At 43.7% G+C, this 14,083-nt stretch overlaps 1 long non-coding RNA gene across 3 annotated transcripts in view; it reads right to left on the minus strand.

Moving 5' to 3' along the window:
* LOC124904185 (uncharacterized) overlaps window positions 1–14,083 on the minus strand; it is a 74,169-nt gene that overhangs the window by 8,151 nt on the left and 51,935 nt on the right. The window contains exons 2-3 of one of the 3 annotated variants that reach the window (XR_007066104.1): window positions 10,037–10,105; window positions 4,034–5,055 (exon numbers count right to left, since the gene is read on the minus strand). The exons of 1 other annotated variant lie outside the window; for it this stretch is intronic. This is a non-coding gene — a long non-coding RNA (uncharacterized LOC124904185). Of the gene's footprint in view, window positions 1–4,033; window positions 5,056–9,476; window positions 10,106–14,083 lie in introns of those variants that run through there. One more of the 3 variants, XR_007066105.1, reaches the window with a different exon arrangement.

A 14,083-nucleotide genomic window follows, 5' to 3' on the forward strand; every position in this document is an offset into this window, starting at 1 on the left:
TCCTGCTGGAGGAGGAAATGGCAGTTTCCTCAACTCCAGGAAACCTTACTTCCTCTCTGGTGCCTAGCTCCGTGTTAACCAATTAGACAGCTTCTTCCCACCCCAGACCCCAGAGACCTGGCCCAAGCCTGGAGAAGACATCCTGTTTCCCCTGAGGAAGTGGCCCAGATTGAAGGAGCCACTAGGGTATTTGAGGGGGGAGTGAGTAGGAAATAGGGCAGGAAGGGGCTGACAAGTAGTAATAACAGTGGTATCCAGTGTCCGCTAAGAACCGCGCCCCCACTGCCACCCCCACTGCTTTGTCCTGACCCTTGGAGATCTCAATAAACTTGGCAAACTCTTACTGGCCTTTGGAGTCCAAAGTCTTCCCATGATCCCATCTCATCCTCAAGCTGGCTCCTCCATCCACCATCTCTCTTCTGTATACCATCCCAGTCCAAAAAACAATGCCGGCCCTTTCTTGGTTTCTACAGAAAACAGGCTCACACCACACATTCCAGGAGTTTAGAAACGTTGCTGAGCACTAAATGGGCACCAGGCACCATCACATTGCCTGGCAAATATCCTCATGGAGACAGCTCTGGAGCCAGACTTCCTGGGTTCGAATCCTGCTTCATATCCTCTGTCCCCAGCTAGCTATGCCTTGTCAGGTGCGTCATTTAACTCCTCTGGGTCTCAGTTTTTCCTCTATTTCCCTCTATCTATGGGAATAGTGGTAACTAGCCCTTCAGGGTTATAGGAATATGCAATGAGACAAAGCCCTGGGCTTGTAGCTCAGTACTCAGTGATGGCCATTATTGTTTTACTCTGCTTCCTCCTCCGTTTCAGAAGCAGGGAAAAAAAACCCACAAAACCCTTTCCTTGTCTCTTGAAGAATAATAGTACCCTTTCAGGGGAAGGGTACTAATGAAATAATTTATTATCTCATTTTTTAAAATAAACTTCATATCTTAGAATAGTTTTAGACTCACAGGAAAAATTGCAGAGGTAACAGAGAATTCCCAGATACTTCACACCCAGTTTCCCCAAATCTTAACATCGTGTGTGAATGCGGTACATTAGTTAAAATTAATGAACCAATATTAATATACTATAATTAACTAAAGCCCATGGTTCCTCCTTAGGTTTTACATAATGTCTTTCTTTCTCTCTTTCTTTTCTTTTCTTTTCTTTTCTTTTCTCTTCTCTTCTCTTTTCCTTTCTTTTTCTTTCTTTCTCTCTCTCTCCTTCCTTCCTTCCTTCCTTTTTGAGACGAAGTCTCCCTCTGTCACACAGGCTGGAGTGCAGTGGTACAATCTCAGCTTACCGCAACCTCCGCCTCCCAGGTTCAAGCAATTCTCCTGCCTTAGCCTCTCGAGTAGCTGGGATTACACCGCCACCATGCCCAGCTAATTTTGTGTATTTCTACTAGAGATGGGGTTTCACCATGTTGGTCAGGCTGGTCTCAAACTCCTGACCTCAGGTGATCCACCGCCTCGGACTTCCAAAGTGCTGGGATTATAGGAGTGATTTCTCTTCCCAGATCCCACCCAAGATACCACATTATATTTAGTCATTAAGTCTCTTCAGGATCCTCTGGCCTGTGACAGCTCCTTGTTTTCATGACCTTGACAGTTTTGTGGAGTATTGGCCAGGTGTTATGAAGAGTGTCTCTCAATTAGGTTTTGTCTCATGTTTTTCTTTTGACTAGATAGACTGGGTCTGGGGCTGAAATGAAGAACACCACAGAGGTGACATTTTGGTACATACTATAGACATGACTTATCACTGCTTATGTTGACCTGATTACCTGGCTTAGGTCATGTTTGTCAGGTTTCTCCACTAACGTTACTTTTTTTTTCCTCCGTCTATACCGTATTCTTTGGAAGGAGGTCACTATGCACAACACACATTTAAGGATTAGGGAGTTATACTCCATCTCCCACAGGGTAGAATATCTATGTAAATGATTTGAAATTCTGCTGCACAAAAAAATTGTATACTCTCCCCTATTAGTCTCTTTAATTATCTATTTATATCAGTATGGACTCATAGGTATTTATTTTATACTTTGTATTATAATGCTACATTACTACTACTACTATTATTATTATTATTATTATTATTATTATTATTATTATTATTTGGAGACAAGGTCTTGCTCTGTAGCCCAGGCTAGAGTTCAGTGGTGCGATCTCAGCTCACTGCAATCTCTGCTTTCTGGGCTCAAGCAATCCTCCCATCTCAGCTCTGCCAAGTAGCTGGGACTACAGGGATACACCATGATGCTCAGCTAATTTTTAAATTTTTTGTAGAGATGAGGTCTCACTATATTGCCCAGGCTAGTATCAATCTCCTGGGTTCAAGCCATCCTCCTGCCTTGGCCTCCTGAAGTGCTGGGATTACAGGCGTGAGCCACCATGCCCAGCTACCTTATTTATTTTGTTGTTCAAATGTTCCAGCTTTGGCAATTGGGAGCTCTTTCAATTAGTTATTCCATCACATTGATACACCCATATCATTGCTTTTGTTTTGCTTTGCTTTTGAGAAATTTCTAACTTTCTGGTACTAGGAGATGCTCTAGGATCGTCTTATAAACGTCTGGCCCCAGTCATAGATTCAGCCATTTCTCCAAGGATTGCTGGTTTCTTGTACTGCACCATAGTACTGAAAACCAAAATATGGATTCTAGGTATACTTGCAGCTACTGAGATGCCATTGCTTCTAGGCTCTCTCAGCTGACAGAACCAGGAAATATATATGTGTGTATACTAACCTGTGTATATATCCATGTCTATACATTTTCTATATATAAACATCTGTATCTATATTAAGCTAAACATGATTCACACTGTACCTCCAACTCGAACCCATTATCATGTAGATCATTCTAGCTTCCTCCTCTTGCTTATCTATGCACTCCCCTCTAAGAGTAAAAAACCTGGCTTCCACCATCCACCATCTTTGCATTTATTTGTTCAGTCCCAGCATACCTGTACAGCAGTATCATAATTGTTAACCCATATCCCACAGGAAACAACTTTTCAACTAGAGTGCAGTACTTATATACAGTTTCTTTTGCCTTTAATTTTATAGACTCTATTTCCAAAATTACTTAGGTCCACAACAATTTCATCCACCCCATCGCTGTGGTTGTTTTATACATTTGTGATACAATTAGATTGTTTTATCACTTTATGCATCTGGTCCTGGGTTCCCTTGACATCCTGAATGGTTATTTATTTATTTATTTATTTATTTATTTTGAGACAGAGTTTCGCTCTGGTTGCCCAGACTGGAGTGCAATGGCGCGATCTCAGCTCACCGCAAACTCTACCTCCTGGGTTCAAGCAATTCTCTTGCCTCAGCCTCCCGGGTAGCTGGGATTATAGGCGCATGCCACCATGCCCAGCTAATTTTGTATTTTTAGTAGACATGGGGTTTCTCCATGTTGGTCAGGCTGGTCTCAAACTCCTGACCTCAGGTGATCCACCCACCTCAGCCTCCCAAAGTGCTGAGATTATAGGCATGAGTCACCGCGCCCAGCCCTAAATGGTTTTTTAAATTCATTTGAATACAAAAGGTTCACTGTGTGCTGTGAAGTTCTATAAGTTTTCATAAATGCCTGTTGTCATATATCCACAATTGCAGTATCATGCATAATGATTTCACCACTCTAAAAGATTCCCTGTACCTCATCTGTTCAGTACTCCCCCGAATCCCTGACAACTGCTTATCTTTTTTTTTTTTTTTTTTTTTTTTTTTTTTTTGAGACGGAGTCTCGCTCTGTCGCCCAGGCTGGAGTGCAGTGGCGGGATCTCGGCTCACTGCAAGCTCCGCCTCCCGGGTTCACGCCATTCTCCTGCCTCAGCCTCCCAAGTAGCTGGGACTACAGGCGCCCGCCACTACGCCCGGCTAATTTTTTGTATTTTTAGTAGAGACGGGGTTTCACCGTTTTAGCCGGGATGGTCTCGATCTCCTGACCTCGTGATCCGCCCGCCTCGGCCTCCCAAAGTGCTGGGATTACAGGCGTGAGCCACCGCGCCCGGCCTATCTTTTTACTCCCATTACAGTTTTGCTGTTTCTAGAATGGCATACACTTGGAATTGTACACTATGCAGCCTTTTCAGACTCTTTCTTCATTTAGCAATACACATTTAAGATTCATTCATATCCTCTCACAGCTTGATAGCACCTTATGTTTTGAATCATGAAATAGTATTCCATTGTGTATATGTACCACCATTTGTCCACCAATTCACTTATTGAAGGACATTTTGTTTCGTTGTTTTGTTTTGTTTCAGTTTTTGGCAATTATTAAAATAAAGCTGCTATAAACAATAGTGTGCAAGTTTTTGTTTGAACATTCGTTTTCAAATCAGTTGGATAAATACCTAGGAGTATATTGCTAGATCATAGAGAAGGATTAGATTTAGCTTTGTAAGAAACTGCCACACTGTTTTCTCAAGTGGCTATACCATTTTGCATTCCCACAAGCAATGAATGAAAGTTCCTATTGCTCCACATCCTCATCAGCATTGAGTATTGTCAGTGTTTTGGATTTTGGCCATTCTAATAGGTGTGTAGTGATATCTTGTGGTTGTTTTAACTTGCAATTCCCTAACGACAAATTATGTTGATCAACTTTTCACATGATTGTTTCCCTTCTGTACATCTTATTTGGTGAGGTGTCTGATTGCACCTTTTGCTCACTTTTTAATTGGATTGTTTGTTTTCTTATTGTTGGGTTGATATGTCTTTTGTATATATTGGATATAAGTCCTTTCTCAGACATGTGTTTTGCAAATATTTTCTCCCATTCTATGGCTTGCCTTTTGACTGTCTCAATAGTGTCTTTCACAAAGCAGAATTTTTTAATGTTAATGAAATCCAAGTTACCAGCTTTTTCTCTCATGCCTTGTACCTTTGGTGTTGTAGCTAATGGCTTATCAGCAAACCTTGAATGATTTTAAATACATTATCTTATGGAATTATTATACCACTGCTCTTGGGCAGGGGATGTCATTTTCATTTCATAGAAGAAACAGCTTTCTGTCACATTTATCTCTGCAGGACCTTGAAACAGGGAAAAAGAGAGAATGGGTAAGCACCAAGAGAGAATATATAGGCAAAAGTAGGCCAAGGCAAACATTAAGAGGCTTCAAAGCTCCCTGTTCAGCCTTAAAATTCATGAGCATTTGACTATCTCTTCCACTAAATAGCTGTATTTGTTTGAATGTAAATATTATATTATTATTGCCAAGGTACACACACACACACACAACCACCACCACCACCACCAATGTTTTGATAAAACTGGTGCTTCATTAGCAAATGCCATGTTTATTGATTGAGTGACTTTATATCCTCCAGCAGTGACACACTTCTCTCAGGAATATTTTTACCTCAGTTTGGAAAGCAAACTAGACTGAAGGAAAGGGCAAGGTTGAGCACCTTGTCAAATGTCACACAGCTAGCAAGTGGCCGACCCAGGATTTGAGTCCTGAGTAAGTACAGTATATCTGCCAGCATACAGTGTCTGTGTCCTTGACCAGACACAGCCTGGCTCAGGGAGGCTGACACCATCTCCATTTCAAGGAGGCACACTTCTCCCTTCACCATTGACCTGGCCTTCCTCTGGCCTTCACAGCCCCTAGCGTCATACCATATCATTTAGGCTTCCCTCTCTCTTCAAAGCATGAATTAGGAAAGGGGGGAAAGCAACCCCAGGATCTGTCTGTCACGAATGTGGGAAAGAACCAGCCCTAGGGGGATGATAAAGACCTTGAAAAAAACAAACAAAAAAAAAAACGATTTTTCTTTATAATAAAAAACTTTTTATACTCAAACAATTTTTTGCTGAAATAACAATGCACATCACAAAACCTATTGAGGGAATGTATAATTATGCCAAATTAAACTGTAGAAGCGTCTCCCTGGCCATGAGAACCATTTATTTCTTGGTTCAGTTGTGTTCGATGGCTGGGGCTGGAGTAGCCACTGTTCTAAAAGAAGGAGCTTCTTGAGAGAAAGAGGTCATTCTCTCAGAGGAATGGCCTTTGCCCTCCAGAGCTGGGATCTGACTGGCTCCTCTAGAAAAAGTGGGAGCTGCAGGCATGTCTCTGTGAGCACCTGACCACAGAGCCTAGCACTGGGCCAAGCAGTCTCTTTGCCCCCACCCATCTCATCTGGATTGTATGCATTCAGCAAACATGCCCATGTATTGGGCATGAACCCCCCAACTCTACCCTCCTCCTAAGGGCTCAGTGGCCTTAGAAGTGTTCCGTTTGTCCCACATGCTGTCCTGGAGTCCAAGCCCTAAATTCAAGTCTCTTCTGCAATGATTAATTCTGTGATCTTGCTTGACATCTCTGCACCACTTTCCTCCCATCCATCTGTGAAACACGAGAGAGGGGCTTCCAGGTGGGCATGGAACAGGATGCTTTCACCTACATCATTTTAAGGAGATTGCTATTCTAGCAGAAAAAAATGACAAGGAAGTGACTATATCATCAAGACGAGTCTTTGAAGCTTACTGCAAAATCTTCATGTCCTTTGGCGGTGAATGTTTCCTCTCAAATGTATGTAAATTTGCTATGCTATGCACAATGTGCTAACTCAGTCAGTGTGGATGCCCTTTCCTTCCCTTTTTTTGCAACTGCTTCAGAGAACCCCACCCACTTTTGTATGCCTCACTGCCTGGGACAAGGCAGCTTTACCCTGTGCCCCATTTAAGCCCTGAATCTCAATGCATCTTCAGGGAAACCTTCAGAGTGACTGCTGCCATTCACTTTTCAAAGACCCCAAAATGGGGCTCCAAGCCTCAGTCCAATCAGCGTAACTAAGGGAAGGAGCTGGAACAACAAGGATTGTGGGAGATTAACCAGCTCTCCCACTGAGAGGCCAGGCAACCTATGTTACTAAATCCTTCTACCGGATTAAGCCAGAGCCCACAGATCACCCACAGGCTTGAACAGATGTGACACAACGGGGCACTTTCTGGGCCTTGGTCCAAGGAAAGAGCTAAAAGTAGATGGTGCATGGGCACAAGGCACTTGTCACTCTCTCCCTTGTAGAGGCAGTGGGCCGTCTCAGAAAGAACATGAGTCAAAAGACCTGGTTAGCCCAGCTTGGCCATGTGCCAGCTGTTTGACCTTGAGTGAGTCACTTCACTGCTCTGGGCCTCTGTTCCTTCAATGGAAAAATGGAGCTCATCATATGGATTTCACAGTCATGAAGGATTCTGAAATAATCAATCCAAATTTTATTTCTTCAAAGACCATCAAAATGAAACATGAATGGGATTGTCTCTGGCAGGATAAAGGCCTGGCTTTAAGGATGAAACATGTCTGTGGCTTCCCTAACTCCTCCCCTCCTTCCTCAGTGCTCCTCGGTGCCTTTCACATGCTTCCCCCATAACACTCTGCTTCAGGAGTTCCTCTCCTATAATTCGGCTTCTCGGAAACAGGGATTCTGCAACATTTATCTCTGCTTTCCCACACCTGGCCACACATGGGTTCCTAAATATGTATATCCAACTAAATGCACTTTGTAAATGATGCAACCCTCTGATGATTATCTACAGTCTAGGAGGGGAAATGGAACATATCCATAGATATTAACATATCTGTCAATATTAGCATATCAATGAGCATATCTATCAAAATATTCCATTTTCCCTCCTAGACTGTAGATACTTTGAGAGCAGGGGTCAGACCTACTTTATCCATGTATCTACCACAGCGCCAAACTAGACACACAGGTAATGTTCAGTCAGTATATGTGGAAAGCAAGGAGAAAGATGGGTATGTGAAAAGCAAGGAGAAAGATCTGAAGGGGAGAGAAAGAAATAGAAACTCCCCCTCCCCAACAGCAGCAGCTAACCCAGCCAGTTCACCTACCCACTCAGCCACTGGGCAGACCCATACTCTCACTCCTCTTCCTGAGACCAGAATTGAGATTGTTTTTAGTCTTCCTGGCCCAAAACTACAAAATCCACAAGGGCCAGCTATAATTTTTCTTTCCACCAAGATTTTCCTGTATGATGTCTAAAGACTCAACAGTCACCCAAAGGTTCTGATTGCAACGGATCGTCAGGGTTACAGATCCCCTGTAGAATTTCTCTACTAAGATGGGTGAGAAGAAATCATCTTCCATTTGTTTGCCCTAGACACAATGCTGTTTTCAACCCGTTTCTTTGCCCATGTTGTCTCCTTTTGTCTAAGATGCCTTTTTGCAACCTCCAAACCATATCGTCACACTCTACAATTCCTCCCACCATCATGCTGACGGCAGCCAATTTGCCCAGCAGACTCATACTTACCCTTCAAGATGCAACTGAAATGGAACCTCACTAGCATAGGAGGTGGTCTGCACAGGGGGCATACAGAACAGTTGCTAGGAGCCCTGACATTAGAGTTAAATCTCAACACTAGCCCATACAAGTTCTAAGACCTTGGGAAAGTCACTGCCCATTTCTGAGTCTCAGTTTGCCCATCTGTAAAATGGACAGGATAGCAAGCACCTTCTTCATAGGGTTGTTATTAGGAGTAAATTGGAGAAATGAATGTAAAGGGCTTGGCAGAGTACTTGGCACATAGAAAGCTGTGAATAAATGGCAGCTGTAGGTGGGTATGAAATATTCCTTGTCTCCCAGATTGGATTAGGCACCCCTGCTCCCTACCCCCATGGCACCCTGTGCTTACTCCTGTAGTGGCCATTTATCGAACTGTTTTCATATCTGCTTATACTTGTGACCCTAAGCTATGGGGAACTCACAGGCAGGAACTCTCTCTGTCTCATTATCCCCATGGTCCAGTACTAGGGCTGTTTATTGCATGAGTGAATGAATTAGTGGAATGAATAAATACATGAATAAATAGAGTGGATGAATATATCTCTAGGCTACATGGAGAGCAGTGCTTACTCTAAGCTCCACCAGGGCTGGAGATGGGGCTGCCAGAGTGGCTTAGGTCTGAACCATGCCTAGGATGCCACAGGAAGCCCATGAGGCCAAAGACCAGTGGGGACAGTGGGACTTAAAGGTAAATTTTTGTTATGGCTGAGCTTGCCCCTGTCACCCTCTCCCAAGGCCTGCCAGGTGACTAACAATCAATAAGTATTTGGTTGGAATTCAGAGATGCATTCATTCATCCAACTAATATGTATTGAGCCAGACAATGTTCCAGGAAATAGGGCATAACCATGGATAAGATGGGTGTATTTCCAAGAGAGATGAAAGAAAGTGGTTGGGTGTGGTGGCTCACACCTGTAATCCCAGCACTCTGGGAGGCCGAGGCAGGCAGATCACAAGGTCGGGAGTTTGAGACCAGCCTGGTCAACATGGTAAAACCCTGTCTCTACTAAAAATACAAAAATTAGTTGGGTGTGGTGGTGGGTGCCTGTAATCCCAGCTACTCGGGAGGCAGGAGAATGGCTTGAACTCAGGAAGCAGAGGTTGCAGTGAGCCGAGATCGTGCCACTGCACTCCTGCCTGGGTAACAGAGCAAGGCTCCATCTCAAAAAGAAAAAGAAAAAGAAAACAGAAAGAAAGAAATAAAATATGATTCCCTTTTGGATTATATGATGAGAGGTAACACAGGCCAATATCACCTATGGCTGTGGAAGTTGGAAGAGAAAAGAGGAGCAACAGACAGGGAGTCAGGAAACCCAGATTCTTATTTTTGCTGTCAGCACAGTCATCTCAACCAAGTCACTTGGCCTCTCTCTGCCCCTGGGACACATGACTTATACAGGGATGACCTATCTGCCCTACCCACCACAAGACCAGATATTCAAACTGAGGATGATTGTAGAAAATGCTCTGGAGTTATGGAAAGAGGACAACTTTTTGGCTCTGTGAACTGAGATACATCATTCATATCTCCAAAGCTCTACTTATTCAACTGTTAAATGGGGATAGCCATACACGCTTGGTCTACTTTGCAGAGTCACTGGAGGTCTTAACCTAGACCTTAGAAGGAAAAAAGGCTTTGTAAGAAATAAAGAACACTGACAGTGTAACTGTCTGGTGTAGACCTGTAGTTAATCTACTCACCCCTCAATTTCAAAGACTGGCTCTTCCTCAGGTGATTCACTTAGCCTCTCTGATCCTCAGAGTCCTCATCTGAAAAATGGGGATAATAATCATAGCCTAGCACACTCTGTAGTGTTGTGAGAATTGTATGAAATAATAGATATGGAAACCTTTGTCAATGTTACCATGCTATATAAAGTAAATATGAGGGGTGATATGGTTTTGATCTGTGTTCCCACCCAAGTCTCATGTTGAAATGTAATCCCCAGTGCTGGAGGTGGGGCCTGGTGGAAGATGATTAGATCATGGAGGCAGTTTCTCATGGTTTAACCCATCTCCCCTCACCTCCCCACCACCCACCCATGTCGTCACCATGACAGTAAGATCTCATGAGATCTGGTTGTTTTAAACTGTGTGGCACCGCCCCCTCACTGTCTTCCTCACACTCCAGCCAGGTAAGATGCCTTCTCTCGCTTTGCCTTCCACCATGGATTGGAAGCTTCCTGATGCCTCCCCAGAAGCAGAAGCCACTATGTTTCCTGTACAGCCTGCAGAACCATGAGCCAACTAAACTTCTTTTCTTTATTTTTTATTATCATTTTTTTCAGATGGGGTTCGCTCTGTTGCCCAGGCTGGAGTGCAGCCTCCACCTCTCGGGTTCAAGAAATTCTCCCACCTCAGCCTCCCAAGTAGCTGGGATTACAGGCACCGACCATCATGCCTGGCTATTTTTGGATTTTTAGTAGAGATGGGGTTTCACCATATTGGCCACGCTGGTCTCAAACCCCTGACCTCAGGTGATCCACCCACCTTGGCCTCCCAAAGTGCTGAGATTACAGGCATGAGCCACCAAGCCTGGCATAAACTTCTTTACTTTATAAATGAACAAGTCTCAGGTATTTCTTTATAGCATGTGAGAACGGACTAATATAGGAGTGATTGTTTATGTCATCATGAAGAATTATGCTCACCATAGTAGATTTGGACTGAAACTCATGTATCTGACTCCCCATGGAGAAAGAAAGGTGCTGTGGTCTGAGTGCTTCTGTGCCTCCAGATTTCACATGTTGAAACTTAATCCCCAGTACAGTGGTGTTGGCAGATGGGATATCTGAGAGGTAATTAGGTCATGAGGGAGGAGCCCTCGTAAGTGGGATTAGTGCCCACATAAAAGAGGCCTAAGAGAGCTTGTTTGCCCCTTCTGTCATGTGAGGATTCAGCAAGAAGCCACTATCTATGAAGAACAGGCCTTCACCAGTCACTGAATCTATCTGTGCTTTGATCTTAGATTTCGCAGCTTCCAGACTATAAGCAATAAATTTCTGTTGTTTATAAATTGCCAAGCCTAAGGTATTTTGTTATAGCAGCCTAAATGTAGGGAGGCAAACGGAAAGAACAATTAAGATGGTCTCCATTTATCCCAAATACATGTGGAATCTCACTTGATTCTTGAGGTGACCCATGTATTAAGCAGGAAACAAATTTCTTTCACCATGAGAGAGGAAGGTAGGAGAAAAGATTCTAGGCTGACACTGTCATACCCACAGTGTGACCTTGGGCAATTTGCTTTTTCTCTGTGAGCCTCATTCTTCCCATATGTCAAATATGGAGCTTAGATTCTAGGTAAGTTAGGCTGCTTATGGCTGCATAAATAAATAAATAATAACCAATAATAATATCTATTATTTCACATAGCTAGTAGTCCAGATGGAGGGGTCCCACGTTGGGTATTGCAGTGTCTCAAAGGTGTCAGGGTCACACACCACTTTCAGTGTGATTCTTTGATGTGTCAAGATGGCTCCTAAGGCTCCAGACTTCACACCCTCACAGTAATGCCCAAAGGCAAGAGGAGGGAAGTGTTGGTCTTGGACTTCTCCTTAAGAAAAGAATAAGGAAAACTTTCCCAAATGTGCCCCTGGTATTTCATGGTGGTGGGGGAGGTGCTGAGGCAAGAAAGGAACCACAGGCCTCTACCTAAACAAATCAGAGAAAGAGAAAACGAATTACAACAAACAGCAGCAGAATCAGTGTTCTGATAAGCAAAAATGTGAAACAGCTGTTGGGTAGGCAACCCTCAGTGTCTAACACAGACTCCATCTAGGTTCTCTAAAATCCATTCAAGCCTCAAAGTGCAATGAGCTGAGATCAGCCGAAAAAGTCATAGACCATCATGGGAGGAACTGAGACACGAACCCCTTCTTCCCACACCCACAGTGTCCAAGTTCTACCCTGTTCCTATTGGATACAGCAGGGTCTTAGGTGGTGCTGATGAATGATCCAGGAGCTCCACAGCTGTGAATCATTCTCAGACCTGCAGGACACCCACTCAGCCAGGCTCCACTGCTGGCAGCTTTCTGGATTGTATTTCTAAAAACAGCCTCGGGCCAATCACACCTATAATCCAGCACTTTGGGAGGCCAAGGTGAAGGAACACTTGAGGCCAGAAATTCCAAACCAGCCTGGGCAACATAGTAGACCCCATCTCTATGAAAAAATAATAAATTCATTGGTTGTGGTGGTGTGCACCTATAGACTCAGCTACTTAAGAGGCTATGGAGGGAAAATCGCTCAAGCCCAGGAGCTGAAGGCTGTGGTGAGCTATGATCATGCCACTGCCCTCTAGCCTGAGTGACAGAATGAGAGTTGGCCTCTTTAAAAAACAACAACAACAAAGTCTCAAAGTGAGCAATCCAGGACTCCATGGTCTTTAGGAAACTGAGTTATTTCTGTCTTTCAGCTTCTCCATCCTCAGCACAGGTCCACCTTCAAGATTACCTCATGATCCAAGATTGAATCTATGACTTTATCACTGTGCCATGTTCTAAAAGGAAGAGAGAAGAGAAGAGAACAGAAGAGAAGAAAGAAGAAAGGAGGGAGGGAGGGAGGGAGGGAGGGTGGGAGGGAGAGAGGGAGGGAGGGAGGGAAAGAAGGAAGGAAGGAAGGAAGGGTCTGCTGTATCTGCCATCTCCCCAACACCCTCTTTCTCAAGGTGGTTTCACCAACATTCCACCCCAAAACTTTTTATATCTCATTGGCCAGAACTTAATCCCAGTACCATACCTTGCTGCTAAGGAGGCTAAGAAATGTGCTTCTTAAACTGAACACACTGCAAGCCCCAATTCATTTACATTAGTAAGCAAGAAGAGAATGAATATTGGCAGGCAGCTACCAATCTCAGCTACAATTCTAGGGCTGATACAGAACAACATGAGTTCTGGATGAAAGATCCGGGTGGTTGAGCATTACAAAGTGTTGGGGGACAAGGGACGTTAGTTGCTGTTGTTGCTTATTTCATTTCGCTTTGGCTGGCTTTCATCTGGCTACTTTTGGGACTTTGCTCACATCATTTCACCTCTGTGAATTTCATCAGGCTAATATGGAGGGTGGGACTACTAGATCAACTGTGGTAAAAAGAATCTAAGGACAAGATACAGTCCTTCATTTGTCCATTCGTTCATTCAACAAGAATCTACTGAGGCACCTTCTGTATGCCAAGTGCTGTCATAGGCAGAGAATTCAGAGATTCATACAAACCCTGCCTCTGGGAGTTTGTACTCCATTGAAACAAGCCCAGGAAAACATCCATTATAAGAGATGGTGCTAAATTCTATATTAAGGATAAACACAAAGAAATTGGAGGTTGGAAAAGGAGCACCTAACACAGGCAGAGATCCTCAAAGCCATCTTCAGATTGCTTAAAAGATGAACAGGAACTTGTGGGTAGAGGAGGTTGGAAAGTACAAGAAGGAGATCAGCATGTGAATAGGGATGAACCCATGAAAGAGCATATCACGTTCCGGAAATATTCTCCACCCAACACTGATCCCCAGGTAGAGGCTCTGGTTTCTGAGCTTTTTCTACTGGCTTGTATTGTTTATTCTGTTCTTTTGAACTCAAGCAGATCTGGGATTGGATCCACCACCTAAGAATGTGAACTCAAGCAAAGGGCTTCATCTCTCTGAGCTTCGGTGACTTTGTCTATAAATCCCCTCAGCCACTGGCGGTAAAGACTAAATGGGACCTCATGTATCAACATGCCTAGCATGATCCTAACACACCAGGAGCTTT

This window comes from Homo sapiens, chromosome 1, assembly GCF_000001405.40.
Source record: "Homo sapiens chromosome 1, GRCh38.p14 Primary Assembly".
Classification (NCBI taxonomy): domain Eukaryota; kingdom Metazoa; phylum Chordata; class Mammalia; order Primates; family Hominidae; genus Homo; species Homo sapiens.